We start from the raw sequence: 13,747 nt of genomic DNA on the forward strand, positions 1-13,747 counted from the left end.
TCATCAAAATACTTAATAAGGTGTGAAGTAGATGGACAGAAAGAGAGTAAATTATGAGAAAGGGCTTGACCGAAGTAATGGGGGCTGTCCCTGAAGGCTTGCAGCAGTACAGCCCAGGTAAGTTGCTGAGACTGATGGATGTCAGGGTCAGTCCAGGTAAAAGCAAAGGGGCTGGGAGGAGGAGTGCAGGGGAATAGTGGAAAAAGCATGTTTTGAGATCCAGAACAGAATAATGGGTGGTGGAGGGACGTATTGAGGATAGGAGAGTATATGGGTTTGGCACCACAGGGTGGATAGGCAAAACAATTTGGCTGATAAGGCACAGATCCTGAACTAACCTGTAAGACTTGTCCAGTTTTTGGACAGGTAAAATGGAATTGTAAGGAGAGTTTATAGGCTTTAAAAGGCCATGCTGTAACAGGCAAGTGATAACAGGCTTTAATCCTTTTAAAGTATGCTGTGGGATGGGATATTGGCCTTAAGCAGGGTAAGAGTGATTAGTTTTTAATGGGATGGTAAGGGGGTGCATGATTGGTCACCAAGAAGGGAGTAGAGGTGTCCTATGCTTGTGGATTAAGGTGGGGAGACACAAGGGGAGGATGTGAAGGAGGCTTTGAACTGGGGGAAAGGGCGGCAATGAGGTGTGGCTGTAGCCTAGGAATAGTCAGGAAAGCAGATAATTTAGTTAAAATGCCTCAACCTAATAAGGGAACTGGGCAGGTGGGAATAACTAAAAAGTAGTGCATAAAAGAATATTGTCCAAGTTGGCACCAGAGTTGGGGAGTTTTAAGAGGTTTAGAAGCCTGGCCGTCAATACCCACAACAGTTATGGAGGCAAGGGAAACAGGCCCTTGAAAAGAAGGTAATGTGGAGTGGGTAGCCTCTGTATTAAGAAGGGGACGGACTTACCCTCCACTGTAAGAGTTACCCAAAGTGTCTGTGATGGTCCAGGAGGCTTCCGAGGCCATCAGGCAGCATCAGTCTTCAGCCACTAAGCTGAGAAGATCTGGGAAGGAGTCAGTCAGAGAGCCTTGGGGCAGAGTTCCAGGGGCTCTGGGAACAGCTCCCGGGCAAGTTGGACAGTCCGATTTCCAGTGGGGTCCCACACAGATGGGACACGGCCTAGGAGGAATCCTGGGCTGCAGGCATTCCTTGGCCCAGTGGCCAGATTTCTAGCACTTGAAGCAAGATCCTGGGGGAGGAGGTCCTGAAGGAATGCCTGGCCACTGTGGCTTAGGTGTTTTGAAGTTCTTGTGTGCTGGAGATGTGGCTGGGGTTTCTCTCACAGCAGAGGCAAGTAATTGCAACTCTTCTCTATTATTGTACACCTTGAAGGCAAGGTTATTTAAGTCCTGTTGTGGGGTTTGAGGGCCGGAATTTAATTTTTGGAGCTTTTTCTAATGTCGGGAGCAGATTGGGTAATAAAATGCATATTGAGAATAAGATGGCCTTCTGGCCCCTCTGGGTCTAGGGCAGTAAAGCGTCTAAAGGTTGCTGCTAAACGAGCCATGAACTGGGCTGGGTTTTTATATTTGATGAAAAAGCCTAAGTGCTAACTGATTTGGGAAAGGTCTGATAGAGAAAAAAGGAGCATTAACCTTGACTATGCCTTTAGCTCCAGCCACCTCTTTAAGAGGAAATTGTTGGGCAGGTAGGGGAGGGCTAGTCACAGAACGAAACTGTAAGCTGGACCAGGGGTGAGGAGGGGAGGTGATAGAAGAATTATAGGGTTGGGGAGCGGAGGCTAAGGAAGAATTGGGACCTGGCTTGGCCTGGCAAGGAGCAGCCTGGGGAGGAGGGGAGAGGTCAGATGGGTCCACAGAAAAGGAGGATTTAAAGAACTCAGAGTTTGGGGTGGAGACTGAAGGAACAGATAAGAGAGAAAGAAGAAAGATTTGGGATGAGTCACATTGGAAGCAGAGATTAGGAAGGGACCGACGTGTAAAAGAATGCCTGGACATCAGACATCTCAGACCATTTGCCCATTTTACTACAAGAATTATCTAGATCTTGTAGGATGGATAAATTGAAAGTGCCGTTTTCTGGCTACTTGGAACTATTGTCAAGCGGTATTGCAGAAGAAAATAAGGCGTTTAGGTTTTAGGTTAGGTGTGAGTTGAAGAGGTTTTAAGTTCTTGAGAACACAGGCTAAGGGAGAAGAAGGAGGAATGGAGGGTAGAAGGTTGCCCATAGTGAAGGAGGCAAGCCTAGAGAAAAGAGAGGGTAGAGACATGGAGAGAGGGGGATACTTACCCCCCAGGGGAGGTTATGCTTGCCACCAAAGTGAAGGATCAAGGCAGGTGTCCCCGTGGTGATAACACACCTCTGAAATGTGGGTGAATAATCAGGCAGGCGTCCCCACAGTGATTAAACACCAAGGGAAGACTGTCTTCCCGAGTCTGTGACTGGTGCCGGAGTTTTGGGTTCACGGATAAAACACGTCTCCTCTGTCTCTACCAGAAAGGGAAAGGAACTGAAATTAAGGGAAGGGAGAGATTGAAGGGTGGCACCAAAATTGAAAGGAGAAAGAAGTTGAGGGATAGTGAGAGAGGTTGGAGAAGAGAGTAGAAAGAGGCCGCTTACCCGATTTAAAATTGGTGAGATGTTCCTTGGGCTGGTTGGTCTGAGGACCCGAGGTCGTAGGTGGATCTTTCTTACGGAGCAAAGAGCAGGGGGACAGGGGATTGATCTCCCAAGGGAGATCCCCCGATCCGAGTCATAGCACCAAATGTCATGTGCGTCTGTGTGAAGAGACCACCAAACAGGCTTTGTGTGGGCAATAAAGCTTTTTAATCACCTGGGTGCAGGCAGGCTGAGTCCGAAAAGAGAGTCAGCAAAGGGAGTTAGGGGTGGGGCAGTTTTATAGGATTTGGGTAGGTAGTGAAAAATTACAGTCAAACGGGGTTGTTCTCTTGAGGGCAGGGGCGAGGGTCACAAGGTGCTCAGTGGGGGAGCTTCTGAGCCAGGAGAAGAAGTTTCACGAGGTAATGTCATCAGTTAAGGCAAGAACCACTCATTTTCACTTCTTTTGTGATTCTTCAGTTACTTCAGGCCATCTGGATGTGTATGTGCAGGCTTGGGCTCAGAGGCCTGACAATTACCTCCCGAAGGCCCCACTTCCTTCTTTTTCATTTTCTTTCTTTTTTTTTTTTGAGGCAGGGGTCTTGCTCTGTCTCCCAGGCTGGAGTACAGCAGCACGATTGCAGCTCACTGTAGTCTGCACTTCCCAGAGTCAAGCCATCCTTACCTTAGCTTTCTGAGTAGCTGAGGCAACAGACAAACAACACTACCCAGCTACTTTTTTGTTTTTTAGAGACAGAGTCTCACTATGTTGCCCAGAGGCTGGTCTTGAACTCCTGGCCTGAAGCAATACTCCTGCTGCAGCCTCCCGAATTCCTGGGATTACAAGTGGGGACCATTATATGCAGATGATTTTTTTAAGAACATATTTCACGTTTGTTGTAAATAATATAGAAAATAAGAAGCAAAATGAAAACATTTAATATCCTACCACCTAGAGATAGCTGTTGTTACAGATTGCATATTTTTCTAGTCTTTTTTTCTTTGCAAGCTTGGGGTCTGGTACTTGTGCTGTCTTAACTAAATCTAGGTTATTTTGTTCATCTTATGATGAAGTTTGGGTGAGAATTTAGTCCCTCACAGGTAACACTGAACCTTCAAATAGTCCAAATTTTTTTTGTATTTTTTATTGTTGTTGTTGTTTTTGAGATGGAGTCTCACTCTCTTGCCCAGGCAGTGCAATGGTGCGATCTCGGCTCACTGCAACATCTGCCTCCCAGGTTCAAGTGATTCTGCCTGTAGCTGGGACTACAGACATGCACCACCATGGCTGGCTAATTTTTGTGCTTTGGGCAGAGACAGGGTTTCTCCATGTTGGCCAGGCTGGTCTCGAACTCCTGACCTCAGTTGATCCACCTCCCTCGGCCTCCCAAAGTGCTGGGGACCCAAGGTCATAGGTGGATCTTTCTTACGGAGCAAAGAGCAGGAGAACATGCATGAGGCATGAGCCTCTGCATCTAGCCCCAAATGTTTTTTTTTTTCCTCATTGTATCTCCATTTGATCTCAGAAATCTTTGAAGTGGTAGAAGTATTTTCTGTATCTTTGTATTTGTCTCAAAATATCAATGTGCATGGTTTAAAAAAATCACCTTTTTAAATTTATTTTATTTTATTTTATTTTATTTATTTATTTTTGAGACAGAGTCTCACTCTGTTGCCCAGGCTGGAGTGCAGTGGCGTGATCTCGGCTCACTCCAACCTCTGCCTCCCGGGTTCAAGTGATTCTGCTGCCTCAGCCTCCCAAGTAGCTGGGATTACAGGGTCCCACTACCACACCTGGCTAATTTTTGTATTTTTTGTAGAGATGGGGTTTTGCCATGTTGGCCAGGCTGGTCTCGAACTCCTGACCTCAGGTGATCCTCCCACCTCAGCCTCCCAAAGTGCTGGGATTACAGGCATGAGCCACCGCGCCCAACCCACCTTTTTAATATTTAAATGGATACCTATAAATGCATTCTGTCTCCTAGAAACTCTTGCCACATCAGTCAACCTGGAAATAAATTGAAGTATCCATTTTTGTTTAAGAATGTACTTTTAAAAAAGATAATTCCTGATTTTTCATTTAAAATTTTCTATCATTCTATTAATAACAGTTATGCTTCATTAGATTTCTTCACATATATTGACCACTTCACTAACATATATGTTATGTATATATTATATGTTAGTTATATATGTATTATATATAAAGTCATATATATGTGTGTGTGTATATATATATATATTATATATATAAAACATTTTGGTACTTAAAATGTGACAGAATAGGACTTTAGCCATGTGGTGATTGTTTTGAGAGAACGTGCTACTCAGCAGCTCTCCACAAGAATGGAATAATGGAAAACAGAAAAAGCTCAGAGCTCAATTACATGGGGGAGAAAAGAATTTTTTATCTGATGGTTATTATGCAAATAATAGGGCCTTGCAAGACTTTAATAAGGTACTGCTCATAGGATTTTAAAAATCATTTGGTCAGTTGATATGGAGACTGTAGTATATTCGAATATCTTGCTAAAGAGCTACATTATTGGAAAAGTTCATGTGATTCAAATCCTTTCCCCCACTTTTATCTCCATAGCTTGTTTTAAAAATAGACTTTAATTTTCAGAGCAATTTTAGGTTCACAGCAAAATTTAGCAGAAAGTAAAGAGAGTTTCATATACTCACATCCCTACTCACGCATAACCTCCCTCACTATCAGCATCCACACCAAAATGGTATATTTATTACAGTCAATCTACATTGACACATCCTTATCACCCAAAGTCCATGCTTTACCTTAGGGTTCACTTGGTGTTGTCCATTCTAAGGATTTTGACAAACGTTGACAAATGTTGCTTCCACCATTTTAGTATCGTTCATACAGAATAGTTTCACTGCCCTAAAAATCCTCTGAGCTCTGCCTGTTCATCCCTCCCTATCGATTAACCACAGATCTTTTTATACTGTCTTCAGACTTCTTGCCTTTCCCAGACTGCTTGGAATTCATATGCTTGGAATCATATGCTTGGAATCATACAGTATACAGCCTTTTCAGATTGACTTCTTTTTTTTTTTTTTTTGAGACAGTTTTTGCTCGTGTTGCCCATACTGGAGTGCAAAGACGCGATCTCGGCTCACTGCAACCCTCTGATTCCTGGGTTCAAGCAATTCTCCTGCCTCAGCCTCACAAGTAGCTGGGATTACAGGCGCCCACCACACCTGGCTAATTTTTGTATTTTTTAGTAGAGACAGGGTTTCACCGTGTTGGTCAGGCTGGTCTCTAACTCCTGACCTCAGGTGATCCGCCTGCCTCAGCCTCCCACAGTGCTGGGATTACAGGCATGAGCCACCGCGCCTGGCCAACTTCTTTAACTTAGTAGTATCCAGTTAAGTTTCCTCCCTGACTTTTTTTTAGCCTGAATAATATTCAATTGTCTGGATATACCACAGTTTATCCATTTACTTACTGAAGGACATCGTGGTTGCTTCCAAGTTTTAGCAGTTATAAATAAAGCCTCTGTAAACACCTGTGCGCTAGTTGTTGTGTGGACATAGTTTTCAGTTTGTTTTGTAAATTACCAAGGACTACTATTGCTGTATAGTATGGTAAGAGTATGTTTAGTTTTGTAAGAAATTGCCATACTGTCTTCCAAAGTGGCTGCACCTGTTTGCATTCTCCCTTCCCACTAGCAGTGAATGAGAGTTGCTGTTGCCACACATCCTTATCAGCAGGTGTTGTCAATGTTTTGGATTTTGGCCATTCTAATAGATTTGCAGTGGCATCTCACTTATTTTAATTTGCAGTTGTCTGACAACACATGATGTTGAACTGCATTTCATATGCTCATTTGCCATCTGTATGTCTTCTTGGTGAGGTGTCTGTTAAGGTTTTTTGCCCATTTTTGATTGGGTTGCTTGTTTTCTCATTGTTAAGCTTTAGGAGTTCTTTGTACATTTTGGATAATAGTTTGTTATCAGATGTGTCTTTTGGAAATGTTTTCTCCAGGTGTGTGGCTTTTCTTCTCATTCTCTTGACATTGTCTTTCACAGAGCAGAATTTTTCAGTTTTACTGAAGTCCAGCTTACCAGTTAAGCTGGATAGTGCCTTTGTTGTTATAACTAAATAGTCATTTCTATCCCCAAGGTCATCTAGATTTTCTCTTTTGTTATCTTCTAGGAGTTTTATAGCATTTTATATTTAGGTCTGTGACCCATTTTGAGTTAATTTTTGTGAACAATGTAAGGTCTGTGTCCAGGTTAATTTTTTCGCATGTGGATGTACGATTGTTTTAGTGTCATTTGTTGAACAAGCTGTCTTTGCTCCACTGGATTGCCTTTGTTCCTTTGCCAAAGATTAGTTGACTTTATTTGTATGAATCTATTTCTGGGCTCTCTATTCTGTTTCATGGATCTATTCATTCTTTCACCAACACCGCGCTGTCTTGACTACTGTAGCTTTAGAGTGAGTCTTGAAATAAAGTAGTATCACTTTTCCACCTTTGTTCTCCTTCCTTATTGAGTTGGCTACTCTCTGGGTCTTTTGTCTCTCTTTATAAACTTTAGAATCCATTTGTCAGTATCCACAAACTAACTTGCTGGGATTTTGATTGGAATTTCATTGAATCTATAGATCAAGTTGGGAAGAATGACATCTTGACAATATTGAGTCTTGCTATCCATGAACATGGAGTATCTCTCCATTTATTTAGTCTTCCTGTTTCCTTCATCTGAGTTTGTAGTTTTCCTTATCTAGATCTTATACATATTTTATAAGATTAATAACTAAGTATTTCATATTTTGGGGTGATAATATAAATCGCAATGTGTTTTACATTTAAAATTCTACTTGTTCATTTGTGATATCTGCTTAACTTTTAAGCAATTAATGGATGCCTCGAAGTTGACGTACATATATATTCAGAAATGTTTTGCCACCTGAGACCTATGAGGAGGTAAGCATCATGGTCCAATCTGTAATTAGTATTGTGGCGGGGGGAGGTCTGTTATGCATTTGGTTTATTTCAGTTTGTTATTATTTTTCCAATTCTGAAGTTATATTATGGTGGAAAGCTGGAACAAAAAGAAAGAAAATTTATATGAGAAGACAGGTCCTCCAAGAGTACATTCAGAGTAGAAGGTGAAAAGAATACTGTCCTTCAGAAGAGTTAGGTGTGAAAAGCTTAAAAGGAAAAACAGATCAAGTTTCCTCTTAACACAATTCACTTTATGGTATTATGTTTCAAGCATCTAGGGCACACAGTTTCTTTTCTTTAGAGTTTAAAAGAGGGAGAGACTAATGAGAATACAAAAGGGAAGGTTCTGGGGGAATAGATACAATGCCTCCTGGCGCATGGCAGGTGTGCAGTAATTGTTCAATTTGGATAGGTAAAAATGCAGGTCAGGGAGGATGCATTAGGGCTTAGAAATTATGTAGGACAGAAAGGGGAGAATGAGGAAGATTCTTGGGAGCTGGAACTGAGGGTTTGTATAAGGAGTGGTTGGAGATCAAGTTGGAAAGATAGATGGGGAAACCATGAAAGAGGGTTTCAAATACCAGACTAAGGAGTGGATTTATTCTGCAGGAATTAGGGCACCACCAAAGCTGTTTGAGTAAGGAATACAGTGATGGTGGAATTTTAAGAAAGTTAATCTGTTGGTGATACCCAATATGGTTGGAGAAAAGGACAGCAGAGTAGACTAATTATGTACAGTCCAGTTTTGTAGTGATGATAATTGATAGCAGAGAAAGTGGAAAGAAGGAATGATTTCATTGAACATTGTAAAGTGAGAAGACTTTACTAACTGATAGTGAATGGGGGTAGTGAACTAATTTGGGTTTTGTGCTTTGCAACATTGAGAAAGGTGGTACCACAATAACAAAAATAAGGAAGATAATCCTGGATTGAGTTGCTAACTGCTCCCTGGCCTTCTGTAACCAGGCTGAATTTAGAAAGATAATAATGACTCATACTCCTTTTTTAGATATGTAAAATTTGAGCAGCTGGCAGGAGAGCTAAGTGTATGTCAGACGTTGGGAAATGAGAACGGAAGCTCAGAGGGATAAGTGGAGTTGCCACTGTGGTTTACTTAGACTAGCTCATATTTAATGCTGGCTGATTCTTTCCTTTACTTTAAACTCCTGTTCTAATCTTTGATGTACAAATCCATATATTGACTTTATAAAAGGTTCAAATATATAGGAGAAACAAAAGATAATCTGCAAATAGGTTGGTGGTCTCCAGATTGTTTAAAAATCACCAGAAATGATTCCACAATCTCTACCATTTTAAAAACATAAAACTTTTCTAAAGACTTGTCACACCTAATGTATGAGAACAAAAGCATGTGCAATGTTTAGAGACTTCATTATAAAAAGCTTAGGTTGGGCCAGGCACAGTGGCTCACGCCTGTAATCCCAGCACTTTGGGAGGCCGAGGCGGGCAGAGCCTTTGAGGTCAGGAGTTCAAGACCAGCTGGGCCAACATGGCGAAACACCGTCTCTACTAAAAATGCAAAAATTAACTGGGCACGGTGGCGTGCACCTGTAATCCCAGCTACTTGCAAGGCTGAGGCAGGAGAATTGCTTGAACCCAGGGTACAGAGGTTGAGCCAAGATCATGCCACTGCACTCCAGCCAGGGCAACAGAGTGAGACTCTGTCTCAAAAAAAAAAGCTTAGGATGGAAAAGGTAAATTATAACATTTAAAAATAGGTGTCGTGGAAGTGCTTTCAAAAAACCGCAAATAATTTCATTTGGATTTAAACACCGTACTTTTAAAAAACACTCCCAGGTGGGTTACAAAACTTAAGAATGAGAATATCACGGCCAGGTATGGTGGCTCATGCCTGCAATCCCAGTACTTTGGGAGGCTGAGGCGGGTGGATTACCTGAGGTCAGGAGTTTGAGACCAGCCTGACCAACATGGTGAGACCCTGTCTCTACTAAAAATACAAAAAAAAAAAAAAAACAGTCGGCGGTAGTGGCACATGCCTGTAGTCCCAGCTACTCGGGAGGCTGAGGCAGGAGAGTCACTTGAACCTGAGAGGCAGAAGATTGCATGCAGTGAGCCAAGATCATGCCACTGCACTCCAGCCTGGGCAACAGAGCAAGACTCCATCTCAAAAAAAAAGAATGAGAATATCAAGTTATCCAACTAGTATAATTTTAGCATGCTAATAATGAGGGAATGAACTAAAAGACATCTGTATCTCTTTTTAAGTATAATAATTATCAAAATGTTTGCTACTATAAAGAAAAAATTGAGCCAGGCATGGTGGCTCATGACTGTAATCCCATTGCTTTGAGAGGGTAAGGCAGGAGTATTACTTGAGGCCAGCAGTTTGAGATCAGCAAAAGAATTAGTTGGGTGTGGTGGCACGTGCCTGTAGTTCCAGCTACTTGGGAGGGTAAGGTGGGAGGATCACTTGACCCCCGGAGATCACACCGCTGCACTCCAGCCTGGGCAACAAAGCAAGACTCTGTCTGAAAGAAAAAAAGAGAGAAAGAGATAGATATAGACAGATATATATAGAAAGAGAATTACACTATTGGATATTAAGATTTTTTGATCTGAATAAGAAACTTATAAAGAAAATTGTTATCATTTGCAGTGAAGTCAGCTGAATTTCAAAGTGGAGTATTGAGGGGAAATTATTATGTTATTTAATATTTCTCATTTTGCACCAGAAAAATTTATAACCACTGTTTTAGAAACCATGTGGTACTCACTGCTTGTAAAACTAATAGATTTCAGAAAACCACAAAGTATCTATCTTGTTTCTGCTGTGCATAGTACGTTTAGTTTTATTGTCACTTATACATTGAGGATTTGTGTGTGTGTGAGTGCCTCAATGAATAACCAGTCCACATCTTTTTAAAAGGTTATGTCTAGAGAAGATATTTCCACACTGGTTTCCCTTTTCAAGAGCTTTATCGGGAGCTGAAGCAGTCAATGCCTTGAGGCCTTTCTATTTTGCAGTACATCCAGATTTCTTTGGACAGCACCCCGTAGAAAGGGTAAACATTTATTTATTTTTAAACCATTAGTGTACATTTCTGCTTATTTACCTTTGATACAATATAATACATAGAGTTCTATAAATGTGGATTATTCTGTTGTGGTGATATAATCAATGCTTTGAACTAATTTGAAATGTAGATACTGAAAATTGAAAATAGAGCTTTTTTTATGAAAGCTGTCATTGTTTTGTGCAGGCAATAAAGCTGTCATTTAAACTCTTTAGAGTACTAGTAATCATGTTTTTGGTACCAATTTTTGAAGTACAGTTGAGGGTTTGAAAGAAAACTTGAGACCTTTATTATCATGATCAATCTCTCTCTCTTTTTTTTTTTTAAGGATGATACATGGAAGAGTTTTCAATGCCCTAGTGATTTTTCCTTATGATGCATGCTGCTGGACCACTCCCCTACAACATCAGTTAATGTGTGCTCCAGGAATACAAACTGATATGAAAAATGACTTATGGTAGATGTAGTTAAGACAGTCAATATATTTTAACATTAGAAAATACAGTCAGTCCTTCATATCCATGGGTTTTACATCCATGGATTCAACCAACCTCAGACTGAAAATATTAGGGGAAAAAAATACATCTGTACTACACATGAACAAACTTCTCTTTCTTGTCATTATTCCCTGAACAACACAGGATAACAACTACTTACATAGCACTTACATTATATTAGATATTATAAGTAATCTAGAAATGACTTAAAGTATATGGGAGGATACACATAGGTTATTTGCAAATACTACACTATTTTATATGAGAGACTTGAGCATTCGCAGATTTCGGTATCCACGGGAGGTCCTGGAACCAATCCCCTATGGATACCAAGGGACTGCTATGTATTACAAAGCCACATGCTTTGGAATTACTTCAGTGTTCCTTCTATTTTCATTAACACTGATATCTAGTTTAATATGAAAAGGAACTTGAAATCTTGAAAATTAGAACATCGTTATTTTTTTCTACTTGCAATGGAAAATCTATTTTGCTTTTTTGCTTCTAGGAAAATATTCTGATTATGATATGTGATATGTTGGCTACTCAAAGTCAGAACTTTTCAAAGTAATCAGTAAATTGAATCAACAGAAAAATATTCATTAACTCGGGGATGCATTAATAAAGTTTTTAAATTCAAAATGTATAGAAAAATCAAGCTTAGTAATACTTTAATATTATTCTACCAATGTATTTTTTTTAATTAAGACTTCTGTATGCAGCAGGGCATGGTGGCACACCTGTAGTCCCAGCTACTAGGGAGGCTGAGGCAGGAGGATTACTTGAGCCCAGGAATTCAAGCCTGGGCAACATAGTGAGTCCTCATCTCCTAAATTTAAAAAACAAACAACAAAAACTTCTACGTGTGGTAAAGGGTTAACTCAGCAAGCTTGGGTTGCTTAAACCTTGCACATTCCAAAGAAAGGTCTGACCCCAGTGCTGACCTTTGACTGGCTACTGGGAAATGAGCTCTGAGCCCCTGGATAGGAATGTTTCTGTTTGCCTGAGGCCTTTGACCATGCCAGATAGTTTATGCTAACAATGTGATTTATAGTGAATACCTGTTTTCCTGTGTCTAAGACCCTGGGCTGCACTGTATTAATTTGACCTTGGGTATTTGGGGAGCTGAGACTGAGTAGCTGAAGTGAGTCACATAAGCACTAAATGCTTACCTGACTGACCCCCAGTAAAACTCTGGACATCCAGACTTGGATGAGCTTCCTTGGGTGGCAACACTTTTACGTATTGTCACACACCATTGCTGGGGGGATTAAGCACTGTCTGTAAAACTCCACTGTGAAATGACAACTGGAAACTTGCACGTGGTCTCTCCTGATTCTGCTCTATTCACCTTTTCCCTTTGCTGATTTTAATCTCCATTCTTTTGTTGTAATAAACCATAATGGTGAATAAAACAGCTTGTCTGAGTTCTGTGAATCCTTCTAGTAAATCGTTGAACCTGAGAGTGGTCTTGGGGACCCCTGACACAATGTGCCTAGAGTTTAATGGTTCTGATAAGTTTACATTTTCGTGTTATCTTTAACTTGTATTTATTGACTCCTCCTTTGTGTCAAGCCCTTGCCCTAGCTGCTGCCTCTGTTTAGAGCATCCTTTTCCCAGATATCCCAGATATGGCTTGTCCTTTACTTTCTCACCTTTCAGTGAGGCTCTCCCAGACTACACTATTACTTGTGTTTGTTTTGTTTTGTTTTGTTTTTAAAACTACCCTATTTTAAATTGCCATCTCTGCTTTCCTTCCTAGCATTCCGTCCCCTCTTTACCCTGCAGTACTTGTTTTTTTTTCCTTTCCATGTACCCTATTTCCTTATTTGTGAGGTTTGTTGTTTATTTTTCTCCCCTCACTAAAATGCAAGCTCCATGAAGACTGTTCACTCTTCTTGTCACTCTTCTTGCCACCACATGTTCAGTTCAGTCTTCTTCCTACTATTAGAGAACACCCTTGCCCCTTTTCTTAGGAAGAGTGGCTTAAAGTCCCATCTATTCATAGCATCGAACTCAAAGTCCAGGGTTTCCCAGTGATGCACAGGATTTTTGGGTTTTTTAAAAAATCCTCTTTAATTTAATTTAAAAATCTGCAAAACATTGTGGGTTTAAAAAAAAAATCAAAACTAAATACAAAGTTTAATGAGAAGTCTCATTCCTATATTCCTGTTTCGTTTACCCAGTTCCTATTCACTTCCTATATATAATCTTTTTTTTTTTTTAATTTTTTTGGAGACAGAGTCTTGCTCTGTCACCCAGGCGGGGAGTGTGGTGGCACCATCAAGGGGCTCACTGCAGCCTCGAACTCCTGGGCTTAAGTGATCCTCCTACCTCAGCCTCCTGAGTAGCTGGGACCACAAGCATGTACCACCGTGCCCAACTAATTTTTGTATTTTTTGTAGAGTCGAGGTTTCACCATGCTGCCCGGGCTGTTCTCAAACTCCTGAGTTCAGGCAATCTGCCTACCTCAGCCTCCCAAAAACTGCTGGGATTATAGACATGAGCCACCACGTCCAGCCTTCTTGTGTTGCTTTTCAGCAAAAATAGAAATATTTATCAAAAAATAATGATGAAGATTTAGTCTTACACTGGCAATAATTATCCCACACTTGCCTGCAGGACTCATATGGCTAAGAACATCATATTAGAATAAATT

General features: G+C 40.8%; 1 protein-coding gene across 7 annotated transcripts in view; it reads left to right on the forward strand.

The window, feature by feature from the left end:
* The window catches only part of TCAIM (T cell activation inhibitor, mitochondrial), a 71,320-nt gene that overhangs the window by 9,169 nt on the left and 48,404 nt on the right, over positions 1-13,747 (forward strand). For 4 of the 7 annotated variants that reach the window (NM_001282913.2, NM_001282915.2, NM_173826.4 and 1 more), the window contains exons 2-3: positions 7,442-7,514; positions 10,444-10,579. In NM_001282913.2, the coding sequence (NP_001269842.1) occupies positions 7,486-7,514; positions 10,444-10,579 (165 nt within the window). In that variant the 5' untranslated portion in view covers positions 7,442-7,485. Of the gene's footprint in view, positions 1-7,441; positions 7,515-10,443; positions 10,580-10,919; positions 12,504-13,747 lie in introns of those variants that run through there. The other 3 variants (NM_001029840.3, NM_001029839.3, XM_047448023.1) reach the window with 2 other exon arrangements.

Source organism: Homo sapiens, chromosome 3 (genome assembly GCF_000001405.40).
Source record: "Homo sapiens chromosome 3, GRCh38.p14 Primary Assembly".
Classification (NCBI taxonomy): domain Eukaryota; kingdom Metazoa; phylum Chordata; class Mammalia; order Primates; family Hominidae; genus Homo; species Homo sapiens.